The 12032-nt window shown below is 49.7% G+C and overlaps 1 protein-coding gene across 1 annotated transcript, besides 6 other annotated features; it reads right to left on the reverse strand.

The window, feature by feature from the left end:
- RIPK3 (receptor interacting serine/threonine kinase 3) lies at window positions 698-4664 on the reverse strand. The gene is made up of 10 exons (NM_006871.4): window positions 4480-4664; window positions 4130-4270; window positions 3688-3997; window positions 3095-3240; window positions 2922-2968; window positions 2546-2713; window positions 2368-2435; window positions 1759-2133; window positions 1558-1618; window positions 698-1068 (listed from the first exon to the last, which is right to left on the reverse strand). The coding sequence occupies exons 1-10, from the start codon at window positions 4497-4499 to the stop codon at window positions 848-850; spliced, it is 1557 nt and encodes a 518-aa protein (NP_006862.2). The 5' UTR covers window positions 4500-4664; the 3' UTR covers window positions 698-847.
- Window positions 2116-2410: an enhancer, noted in NCBI's record as "tiled region #10023; HepG2 Activating DNase matched - State 4:PromP". NCBI's record gives its function as "activates a minimal TATA promoter and a strong SV40 promoter by Sharpr-MPRA in HepG2 cells {active_cell/tissue: HepG2}" and the evidence as "EXISTENCE:reporter gene assay evidence [ECO:0000049][PMID:27701403]".
- Window positions 2116-2474: a biological region, named in NCBI's record as "Sharpr-MPRA regulatory region 10023".
- Window positions 2285-2474: a silencer, noted in NCBI's record as "fragment chr14:24806818-24807007 (GRCh37/hg19 assembly coordinates)". NCBI's record gives its function as "represses an EF-1alpha promoter that drives an FKBP-Casp9 reporter gene in an ReSE screen in both phorbol 12-myristate 13-acetate-treated (for megakaryocytic differentiation) and untreated K562 erythroleukemia cells {active_cell/tissue: K562 | K562(+PMA)}" and the evidence as "EXISTENCE:reporter gene assay evidence [ECO:0000049][PMID:32094911]".
- Window positions 4030-4099: an enhancer, noted in NCBI's record as "active region_8214". NCBI's record gives its function as "activates an Ori minimal core promoter by ATAC-STARR-seq in GM12878 lymphoblastoid cells {active_cell/tissue: GM12878}" and the evidence as "EXISTENCE:reporter gene assay evidence [ECO:0000049][PMID:35858748]".
- Window positions 4330-4529: an enhancer, noted in NCBI's record as "active region_8215". NCBI's record gives its function as "activates an Ori minimal core promoter by ATAC-STARR-seq in GM12878 lymphoblastoid cells {active_cell/tissue: GM12878}" and the evidence as "EXISTENCE:reporter gene assay evidence [ECO:0000049][PMID:35858748]".
- Window positions 4550-4619: an enhancer, noted in NCBI's record as "active region_8216". NCBI's record gives its function as "activates an Ori minimal core promoter by ATAC-STARR-seq in GM12878 lymphoblastoid cells {active_cell/tissue: GM12878}" and the evidence as "EXISTENCE:reporter gene assay evidence [ECO:0000049][PMID:35858748]".

The raw sequence follows: 12032 nt of genomic DNA on the forward strand, positions 1-12032 counted from the left end.
TTTGGTAGTGGGGAGACCGAGGGCGGGGGGCTGAAGCCTGGCGAGAATGTAGGGAAGAATGTGGGTCCTGGTGGGGATCTAGGTCAGAGTTGGGGGCGCTCATTCTCTTGACCTCTCCGCTTGGCTGGCAACCACTACCACCGGGTTTGAACTGTTCATGCTCCGTGGGAGGGGTTGCGCCTGTGTATAGCTTTAGGAGCCATAGCTTTCCACTCCCGAACAGCAACTGGGAATCAAAAGGGAAGCAATGTCCAGGAAGCAACCTGAGTGTGTGGTGGAGGCAGGTATGTGGCGTCATGATCTCTAAGAGCCTGGGGGCACCGTGCGGGGCCAGGTCTGTGATCTTTCACATCAACTCATCCCTCGCCAGAGCCCTGCAAGTGAGTCTTGAGAGCCCGGAAGAAAAGGGACCACAGCCTCTATCCCCAGAGTTTAGGGTTAGGGTGGGGTCGCCATCCTAGGCTTTAGAGGAAGCACTGCCCTGAGATTAGAGAGTGGTCTGGGGAACCAGGCCTCTAGGATTCCTTCCTGTTGTAGCCGGCTGTGCCCTGACCTTGTGTGCCAGGCCATTGCCCACTCCCAGCCCCCAGCATCCCCACTTCCTGCCATAGCAGAGCTGTGGTGCCTCCCTATCCCTCACTGGCAGCTCCCACCCCCATCCCAGTCCCTCCCTGCCCCTGGCTGAGCTCAGACTGACTAGCATTCCATCATGTTTATTGACTCCTGGGGGACAGGTCACAAAGTCAGTTTGTGGGCAGGCCAGACTGCCCTAGAAGGAAGTCAGGGGCCTCAAGGGGTGGCACTCTTCCTTAACTCGTAACTCTTGGAGGCAAGCTTGGAAGGTGCTTTATTTCCCGCTATGATTATACCAACCCTGTGGCCTGCTCCAGGCTTCAGGATCTTTAGGGCCTTCTTGCGAACCTACTGGTGGGGGGTGCTGCAAGCCCCTCCCCTTGCCCGAAGGTGCCAAGCCCCATGTGGGCAAGGCAGTTGTCTGTTGCATAGTCAAGTAGTTGTTGTCTCCAACTTGCACCCCAGAGCAGTTGTATATGTTAACGAGCGGTCGCCCTTTAAGAGAAATAGTGATGGTGGCAGGAGGGTTTAGCTGTCAGAAAGGCCAAGTTGGGGGTGGGTGGGGAGTATGAAGTCTCTACTTGTCAGTGGCTGTGTCAAGGTGTGCCCTGTGCTCCTCCCCTCAGAGCTCCTCTCCAGAATTGTGTTAGCAGAAGCTCTAGAGAGTGGCAATTGACATTTGAGACCCTGATCTTTTTTGCTGGGAGGTCCTCTGGACTGCTGAAACAATGGAACTTAGGGGGCTCACAGAGCTGGTGTTGTGGAAAGTTAGAAGATTCAGGGACAAATCCAAGCTTTGTTGTGTGACCTCAGAGGGCTCCTTTCTCAGGGGGTGTCGGTTTTCCCATTTATGAAATGAGAAGGTTGAGTTAGATCATCTTCTCCCCTCCCCTCCACAAAGTACCCTGAATCTAGATATAGGTCTGGAGGAGGAGTCTGGTGGAAGAATTGAACAGGGAAAAGAAAGAGGTAGAGAATGGGTACCTGTTACTGGATTTGGCTCCGGGGTCCTGCAGGACCAGTTCATGCCTTGTCTCTCAGCCCCCTGCAAACAGCACAGAGCATCCAGTTCTGCCCTGGAGCCTGGCACTCCCACTGCACTCCTCTCAGCCCCAAGTTTTCGCTGGCAAGGGGACAGCATTTATAGGACTCTTAGTGCATCCCCTAATCCTGTCAATGTCTCACCTGATTCCCTCGGGGTCCAGGACTTGGTGTTCCAGTTGAGGTAGGGCTGGGCATCTGGTTTCTGAAAGTTGAGGTCTCTGGAGTCTGGGGAGGTTGGGCCATCGAATCTGAAGATGTGCCTGCTGTCCAGGCTTGTGGAACCTGCTCCTCTTGTGCCCTGCTCCTCTTGGTAAGGCTCGGGCATTTTTTAGGAACAGAGCTGGGAGGCTCCTCTAGATTCAGTTTGTTTAGCCACTCAGAAACCATGACATCATTACGAGAGTGCTGGTTTTCTATGGTTCTCCTAAAGCCATCCATTTCTGTCCCTCCTTGGCCTGACTCTGGGATAGAAAATCTCCTATTGCTGCTCCTGAGCTGAGACAGGAAATCCTTTACCTGCAGGGATGGGAGGAGTTTGCTGGGTATGACTTGGATGAGCCAGAGTAAACCCAAGGGAGTAGTCTCTCGGTCCATAATCTGTTGTCTGGGAACTCAGGGGTGGGCTGGGGACGGTGGGTACAAAGGTCAAGGCATAAAAAGCAGTGGTCAGTGGTGAGTCATTGGATGGCCAGGTAGCCACGCTGTGCCATCCCTGACCAGCTCCTGGGGAGGGGTGATGTTGGCACTCACCGTGGAGACAGCAGCATTCATATTGTTCTCCACCATCTGGAAGACTTCATCAGTTTTTGGTAGGCATTCTAGAGGGACAGCAGAGTGGAGTGCAGGTGAGCAAATCTTCTTTTCCTGAGAAAAGCCCCCTGCTGACAGACCCAAGCTTATCCTAGATCCAGCTAACTGGCCAGCTCACCCTGGAAGGAGGGTCTGTCCTTGGGCTCACTGCTCCAGCAGAGCTGCATTAGCTCCTTCAGTCCTTCTAAGCCGGGAGTCTCAGGCCCGGCTTGGGGCAGCTCAGCCAATGAAGGCCGGTTCTGCCTGTTGCACACTGCTTCGTACACGAGTGATGGTTCGGTTGGCACTGGAGTAGGGGAGGAGGGTGAGAAGAGAAGGCATTCAGGGTAAAAGGGAATTATCTGCTTCATCATGGAAAGAGGCAGGGAGTGTAATGTGGGGGCACGAGGAGGGAGGAGGGCAGTCTAAGTAGGTGAGCGGGAAGGGGAAGCCTTGGGGCTTTCAAGAGAAGGGCACCTGGGGTTAAGGATCCCAGAATCCTCCTAGAGTCTTACACTCAACTTCTCTTCCAGCAAGCACTGCCCACATTAGGATCCCGAAGCTGCAGGAGACACAAAGCTGAGGATCGGTCCAATCACTGGCAAGACTCCTTTCCTATACATCATCCCCTGGGAGGGCCCAGAGAAGTGTAGGAATCCTGGCTGTGTGTTTGGGCCGGGATCCTTACCTGTAGACGTCACTGGCTGTGGAGGCCTTCCGGTTTACGTTAACAAACAGTTCTGGGGCCAAGTAGCCCAGGGTGCCCCCTGGCTCCCCGGACCCTGTCCCTGACTGTGAGCCTCCCTGAAATGTGGACAGGCCAAAATCTGCCAGCTGCAAAGGAAGGAAAGAAGTGGGAGGTAGGGAAGACAAGGGGGCCAGAGAGCCTCCAGGAACCCCCCTGCCCCCAGAAGGTGCAGGTTCAGCTTTGTAAAGGGAGTGTGGAGGTCAAGGGAAGAGGTTCCCTTGGATGGTAGATCTAGGTGCCTTGTGGTAGGGCTAGGTCAAGGTCTGAGTCTCCAGGGCTGGGTCAGCCATGACTCTTTGGAGGGGCTGGTGGGGCAGCTGGTGGAAATGACTCGTGTGGCTCAGGGCCTCTATCACCTGGTAGGCAGGAGCTAAAACTCCTGGCTGGGCTTTGTCCCCTGGCAGCCCTGTGTCCAGAGAGAGAGGCTACGCCTATTCAATAGACAGGGCTCTGGAGGTCTAGTGTCCGGCGGGCCTGGCTGGAGCAGCTCTGGGGCCTTGTCTTGAGGCTGAGAGGGGTGTAGACCAGCTGACCTTGACGTGCAGCTCTGGGTCCAGCAGGACGTTGGATGGCTTGAGGTCCCGGTGCAGGAGCACCGGGTTCTGGTCGTGCAGGTAAAACATCCCAAGCACCACTTCTTTCAGCAGGCGGCAAAGGAGCGGCCAGGGCCGAGGGCACTGGGACTGCAGCAGCCCCGACAAGGAGCCGTTCTCCATGAATTTAGTCACCAGAGCCGGCTTGGGATCTTGGTCCCAGTTCACCTTCTCGATAACCCCTTCTAGGCGCAGCACGAATTCGTTATCCAGACTTGCCATGGCCTTGACCTCCCTGGATATCGCCTTCCTACACTCCAGGAGAGAGCTGGAGTCGCACCGGGGTCGTGGGAAAATCCCTCCCTTCGCCATTCAGGCCCCAGAGCACAGTGGCTCCACCTTTTTGGCCAGATTGCGGCTGGGGTCAACCGGGGTCACTCACGAGTTTACGATCTTGACCGCCACATCGTAGCCCCACTTCCTATGTTGCGCCCGGAACACTGTGCCGAACCCGCCTTTGCCGACGAGCTCCTGGTTCTCCAGTTCCTCGATGGACACCAAGGGGGCGGGGGCACCGCTGGGCCTGAGAGAGGGGTGTCGCCCACTAGCCGGCCGTGCCGTGCCTCAGCGCTGCTCCCCGCGCCCCTGTGACTCGGCGTTCTCACTGCAATCCCCAGCCTCCCTCGCCGGCCCCCACCGTCCCCGGACTCAAAGACGTTCTCTGAGCGAGTCTGTGGGGCTCTCTGGGTGTGAATGTCGGAGGCTGCGATCGACATGCCACTCCCTACTCACCATAACTTGACGCACGACATCAGGCTGGAAGGTGCCAGGGGGCCTCTGGAAATTGCGAGCCGTAGGAGATGGAGTGACTTCTGGGGCTTGGTCCTTTCGCAGAGAGGGGAAGGGGTCTGTCTGTGCAGGGGTCAGTCTCTAGACCAAGACGGTGAGTCTACTTTCCGGGTTGTTACCCTTTTTCCGAGTTGACTGAACAACTTCCCTTATAGGCGCCTCTACAGTCCCGCCCCTGGGGTGGGGCAGGGGGCAGAGCGAAAGCTAGTGCCTTTCTCCTTGACTAGCGTTTCCTGAGCACCTGCCGCAGCCAGATTAGGTGTTGCTGGGCATTGAGGATGTTAGGGAAGGAGTCCTCACCTTCCAGGAACCCACAATCAACCCACTCCTACAGTCAAAGCCTTCCCTTTTCCCACAGGATTTCCTGCTCCACGACCTGCCAGGCCATGAGTGGAGATGGTGCTTAGGAGGGTTTTATGGTTCTAGGGCTCAGCTCTCTCACAGCTGCCCTAAGATCATAGCCAACACGTATATAAAACTTATCATGCACCAGGTATATATATTAGCTTATTTAATTCTCACACGAACCCTAAGGGGATAGGTACTGCTTTTATTACCTTTCTATAGGTGAGGAAACTGAGACACTGAGAGTTTAAGTACCTTGCCTAAGCCCATATGGAAATAATGGCTCTGAACCATCAAGTTATCCTGTTTTCACATAGGCTTCAGGGCTGTACCACTCAGCTGGTCGTGCAGGTGGCTGGGAAAGGTGTGAAGCATCCAACAATGTAGTGAAGGATCCCTATCTGTATTCCTGCCCAGTCCCTATAGCTGCTCTTGCGAGGCAAGTCTTTGGCATTGATAGGGACTTATATGCCCTTTGAACAGGAGCTCCTGGAGGTGGCAGGCCCCAAGCCCACTCCCAGGGCATTGTGGTAAGGCTAGATTTATCAGCCCATCCAGAGGGTTGGTGACATTGTGGTGTACACTACAGTGGAAACACCTCAGAGCTTTCCTGCCCTCTCCCTTGCATGACAACTCTTGCATGCAAATACCCTAATTAATGTTCCTGACAAGCACATGCTCTGGACACAGTCTTTTGATAACCCAGAAGCATGGAGAGTCTTAAAGATTTAGGGCAGAAAAAAGGTGTCCATATTTTACCTTTCTGAGGTCTGACCATGACTGGAGGTTGTGGGAACCCGATAGGGCCTGCCCTAGGCACTCAATCCTTCACAGGGATACTCAATCCTGTGGGTTGTGCGTTGGCTCTCACTAAAGGTGCTCACCTTGGTACTTGCTTTCCATTTTGTTCAGTGGTCCATGGGCTCTGCTGGTTGAGGCAGAAGTGATCTGTAGTTTTTTCTAAAACAACTCTTGGAGAGCCACACCATGGCTTCTAGCAGGGTCAGTTCATGCTATTTTGGAACTATTTAGGGAATTGTTCAACCGTAGTCTCCTTAAAAGCCAATACATGGCAGATACCCAATAAATATTTGTTGAATTGAATGAATAAATGAACAACCCAAAATATCGAGCCTTTCTTAAGGCACTGATCATCCTAGATGGAGCTCCATACTCAGTAGGAGGAAAGAGGTGATTGGGTTCCTGTAGGGACTGAGGGCTCTCACCTGCACAGTTCATGAAATCCATCTGAAGTAGGCTTTAGTATAGAGATATGGTGGTATCACACAGAATCCAAGAAGGCAAGAAGTGTAGCAGGTCCTCAGAAAAGCCTAGAGTCAGAAGCTGAGAGCCATCAAAAGGGGCAGCCACTCCCTTTGTGATTCTTTTTAGAGAGAATAACCCAGGCTCAGTATCTCCACTTGAAGGGAACAGGCAGAAAGGATTTGGAAAGGTGTTATAACTGGGTTTCTTCAGATTGTGACGAGACCCTGAGAATGAGGGATAAACCACTGTGAAGCACAAAGTTGGGTGTGGTATCAGGGCCTATACTACTTTTTGACTCAAAATAAACAGCCTCTTTAAAAGAAGGAAGAGCAGGGAGAAGAACCTTAGACTAAGTGCCTAACAGGACCCTCAGCTTCCAGCAAGGGGGTATGGGGGTGGACCTAGGCAGAGGCTGATTCTTGGAATTCTGAGCTCTGGTCTTTTCTGAGGACTGATGCCTCTGACCACAGATGTCCCATGCTTTTGGAGCCTACTTGGGTATTTCTTTTTTTAAATTAAATGAAATTTTTTTTTGAGATGGAGTCTTGCTCTGTTGCCCAGGCTGGAGTGCAGTGGTGTGGTCTTGGCTCACTGCAACCTCCGCCTCCCGGGTTCAAGCGATTCTCCTGCCTCAGCCTCCTGAGTAGCTAGGATTACAGGCATGTGTCACCATGCCTGGCTAATTTTTTTTTTTTTTTTTTTTGAGATGGAGTTTCACATTTGCTGCCCAGGCTGTAGTGCAATGGCGCAATCTCAGCTCACCACAACCTCTGCCTCCTGGGTTCAAGCAATTCTGTCTCAGCCTCCCGAGTAGCTGGGATTGCAGACATGCACCACCACGCCCAGCTACTAATTTTTGTATTTTTAGTAGAGACGGGGTTTCACCATGTTGGCCAGGCTAGTCTCGAACTCCTGACCTTGTGATCCACCTGCCTTGGCCTCCCAAAGTGCTGGGATTACAGGTGTGAGCCACCACGTCCAGCCTTACTTGGATATTTCTTATTCCTTCAGTTCCCTGCTCCTGATTGTCTCTAATTACATTCAGTTCATCTCTCCTGTGAGCTCTGGTTCCCTCTCCCTAATTGTTGTAGGGGTAGCGGGTTGTGGGGGATCTATGTGGTCTCCTTGCATATTCTAGTCTTAATTCTTATCCGTTGTTTGATTAAGAGATTCTAATTACAGACCAAATGGTATTAATTGAGGTGACAGTCCCGGCCAGGACTAATTTTTTAAAAAGATCTGCTACCAGTAATTCCACCCCTGAGTATATCCTAAAAGAATTGAGGCCAGGCACAGTGGCTCATGTCTGTAATCCCAGTACTTTGGGAGGCCGAGGCTGGCGGATCACTTGAGGTCAGGAGTTTGAGACCAGCCTGGCCAACATGGTGAAATCCCATCTGTACTAAAAATACAAAAATTAGCCAGGCATGGTGGCATGTGCTTGTAATCCCACCTACTCAGGAGTCTGAGGCAGGAGAATCGCTTTAACTCAGGAGTCAGAGGTTGCAGTGAGCGAAGATCACACCACTGCACTCCAGCCTGGGGGACAGAGCAAGACTCTGTCTCAAAAAATAAAAATAAAAATAAAAAAAAAGAATAGGAAACATGGATTCAAATAGATAACTGTACACCAATGTTCATAGCAGCATTATTCGCAACAGCCAAAAGGTGAAAACAACCTAAATGTCCATCAATAAGTGAATGGATCGGTCCAATACAAACTGTTGTATATACATACCATACAATATAATTCAGCCTTAAAAATATGATTTAACCTTAATAAAATTCAGACACATGCTATAATGTGGATGAATCTTGAAGATATTATGGTAAGTAAAATAAGCCAGTCACAAAAGGACACATATCGTATGATTTCACTTATAAGAGGTACCTAGAATAGTCAAATTCATAGAGATGAAAGTAGAATGGTGGTTTGTAGGGGCTGAGGGAAGAGAATGGAGAGTTACTGTTTAGTGAGTACAGAGTTTAATTTGGGAAGATGAAAGGTTCTAACGATGTAGTAATGGTTATACAATGAAGTCAATGTACCTGATGCCACAAAACTGTACACTTAAAGGGTTAAAATAATAAATTTTGTGCTATGTGTATTTTACCACAAAAGGATCTGCTAAAAATATGATTCTAGTATTAGAAAGGGACATATGAAAATTTATATTAATAAACATTTAGCTGTTTGATTTAACATCAGATTTCACCGCGAAGAAAGAATGTATGTATGTATACGTATATATGCTTAGAAAAATATATGAATGGACAAATAGAAAAATGTTTAAAGGAATTATTCCTGGCTGATGGGCTTATAGGTGATTTTTATGTTCTTATATTTTATAATCATATCTTTTTCTTAGTGTGTGTGCTGCTGAGGTGAGTACTTATAGTCTTATTTTTATCTGCATTTTCTAATTTTCCTGAAATGAGTTCATGAAATGAGTGTAGTAATTCTACAGTTCAGCTTCCTCTTTGTCTCCAAGACATGCCCAGAGATGTAGCAGCTTCCCTCTCCCACCTGCCACTACCCTAGCCCGTCAGTCTATTATTTGCTGCTCCCTCCTGATTTCTTGTAATTGTAAGTAGCCTGCTGGTCACTTTGGTATTTAATGGATGTTATTAGGTCTTGGAGTTTCAATATGGTAAGATTTTGACAGACATAACGTGATAGAGGTGATTCCACTCAGAGAGCATGTTCTGAGTCAAGGGTAAAGTCTACAGTGTGAACTTTCATGAGTCCAACTGCCAGACTGGCTGAGTGGCCTTTCCCTCCCCGCCCCCACCAGCAACAATGATAACAACTGGTCTTTTCCACATGTGATGGTTCACAAAGCACTTTCACAGTAAATCCTCACAATCAAGGGAGGTTGGACTTACTGTCTAAGGTTTACAGAATAAAAAGTTCTCATTTTTTGTCTGGAGGTGAATAGTAAACATAGAGTGATAAGAAATCTCTTATTTATTTATTTATTTATTTATTTATTTATTTATTTATTTATTTTGACACGGAGTCTCACTCTGTCATCCAGACTGGAGTGCAGTGGCATGATCTCGGCTCACTGCAAACTCCACCTCCCGGGTTCAAGCAATTCTCCTGCCTCAGACTCCTGAGTAGCTGAGATTACAGGCGCTCACCACCATGCCCTGCTAATTTTTATATTTTTAGCAGAGATGGGGTTTCACCATGTTGGTCAGGCTGGTCTTGAACTCCTGACCTCGTGATCTGCCCACCTCGGTCTCCTAAAGTGCTGGGATTACAGGGGTGAGCCATCGCGCCCGGCAATAAGAAACCTCTTTTTACTGTGGCAGTGCGGATTCCCGTCTGCCCCCTTCCTTCCACCCCCTGCCGACTCAGGGATGCTCCAGCTCATGGGGGAACCCTTATCCCAGCTACTGAAAACAAACCCTCCACACATGGGGAAAGGTTGCAACTATGTGCAAAAGAACTGTCACTTTTGGGGACTGAGCTATACTCAACTCAGGAAAGTCACCAAACAAACCCCAGGTTTGAGAGAGAAGAGTAATGGGGAGAACTTTCCACTTGGATAGGGACTCCATTCACTGTGGCACCCGCCTCTCCCTATCCTTGAGATGCTTTCTTTTGGGGAGCCTCCTCCAGGGCCCAAGTATTGCTCTTCTCCTTTAGGATTCCAAGCAGGTCTGAAGCCCCCTTTTACTTGCTTTTCCTTAGGAGAGCTGAGGGGCTGATGCTTTCACAAAGAACCACATACCTTTAGCTCTCCTATCCCACCTGCGCTCACCGTCCTAGCAAAATGGAATCCTTGTGCTTAATCTGTTTCCTCACACCGCATTTTGGATCTGCGTCCCAGAGCGTCTCTTTGGCAGAACTTAACGTACTTGTCTGTACCCTCAAGGAAGGGAGGCTGGGCAGGGTAACTATTTTGATTCTACATTACCATGGTGGGACCAAAAAGATTTTGGGCAGCTATAAGTTAAGCGTCCACACACATATAACCGTAATGCCCCTTCTGTCAGTGTGAGTCCTTCTCTCTTTCTTACTGTCTAGTTAATGTCAAAATATAATTTCTGTGCTCTCCCAGCTCCTCTCACCCCAGTGGAGCAGGCCACTGCTTCATGTTGCTTCCCTAGCTGGGTGTCCTGCTGTTTCTTTTTTTCTTTTCTTTTTTCTTTTTTTTGTTTGAGACGGAGCTTCGCTCTTGTTGCCCAGGCTGGGGTGCAATGGTGCGATCTTGGGTCACTGCAACCTCTGCCTCCTGGGTTCAAGCAATCCTCCTGCCTCAACCTCCCGAGTAGCTGGGATTACAGGCATGTACCACCACACCCAGCTATTCTTTTTTTTTTTGTATATTTAGTAGAGACGGGGTTTCTCCATGTTGGTCAGGCTGGTCTTGAGCTCCTGACCTCAGGTGAGTCCTGCTGTTTATTTACAGGGAGTAAAGTATAGCCTAACGGTCAAGGGTATAAGCTCTGGAGTCAGTCTACCTGGGGTTGATTTCTGCTCTGTCAATTACTGGCTGTTTGACCTTTAGCAAGTTACTCAACCTCTCTGAATTTTGGTTAATTATAGCACCTACTGGATTGAGTTGTTCTGAGGGTGAAATGAAATGAGGATGAAAGAACATAGCAAGGCTCAGCATGATAATAGGTTAGACCACAGGAGGCTGGGCATGGTGGCTCATGCCTGTAATCCCAGCACTTTGGGAGGCCGAGGCGGGTGGATCATGAGGTCAGGAGTTCACGACCAGCCTGGCCAACATACTGTAACCTCGTGTCTACTTAAAATACAAAAAAAAAAAAAAAAAAAAAAAAGCTGAGCATGGTGGTGGGTGCCTGTAGTCCCAGCTACTTGGGAGGCTGAGGCAGGAAAATTGCTTGGACCCAGGAGGTGGAGGTTGCAGTGAGCCGAGATTGAGCCACTGCACTCCAGCCTGGGTGACACAACGAGACTCTGTCTCAAAAAAAAAAAAAAAAAAAAGACAGATGGACAGAAAGAAAGAAAGAAGACCGCATAATTCCAGGCAAATATTATATGCCCAATAGGTGATAGGTATTATCACAATAAGCATTGCTGTGTTTCCAATATGAAGAACATATCTGGTTCACAATTTATTTGTAGAGCAGAGAAAATGGATTTAACTACTGTTCAATGAAATAGCTCCCTCTTCCTTCTCCTGAAAATTTCCAGCCCCACCCCTCCGTCCTAGGGCCTTTTTAACAACTCAGCCCTCAGGTCTCTCTCTTCTCTCCCAGACAACTGTTCTGAGGGAGTGACTGAGGAAGGCAGTGTGTCCCTCCCTGCCTGTGGTCTTGAGGAGAGAGGGCTTTAACCGAGGGTCTCTGGTTTCTCTGCTGAGAAGTATTGGATGTCTGTTGCCTGGTGCAAAGGTGCTCAACAAGGTTAAGAGGGTTATGTTGTTGGCGCAAGGATGGGCTTTGGGCCTGAGGCAGCCACTTGGGGTGCATTGGGCTGTGTGTCCTCAGGTTGCCTCTGATTTGAGCTGCATCTGTGGTGAGCCATCCCTTAACCCTGCCAGGATCCCATCCAAGAGGACTTGTCTCTGCCTTTCTCCCTCAGCTGAGAGAAGTGTGGGAGAGGAGAGTAGCATCAGTGCTCTGAGGGCAACCCTTAACCAATGGAGGGAACCAGCCAGTGCCCAGCCTCCTGTCCTTTCTGAGGTGTGTTCTGCAGTTCCTGAGGATCTGCTCTGAGCTCCACCTCAGTAGCTAGCTCAAAATGCACCTTTGTATTGGCATTTTCTCCTTCCCTGACTCACGTTTTCTGCTCCCTCCCTTCTGATTCCTGGGGTCACCCTTCCAGGAAATCTCAAGTCCAGGTCTCAGGGGCACTGTTTTCAGGGAACACAACCCAAGACACACCCTTTGGCCTGTTTCCT

This window comes from Homo sapiens, chromosome 14, assembly GCF_000001405.40.
Source record: "Homo sapiens chromosome 14, GRCh38.p14 Primary Assembly".
Classification (NCBI taxonomy): Eukaryota; Metazoa; Chordata; class Mammalia; order Primates; family Hominidae; genus Homo; species Homo sapiens.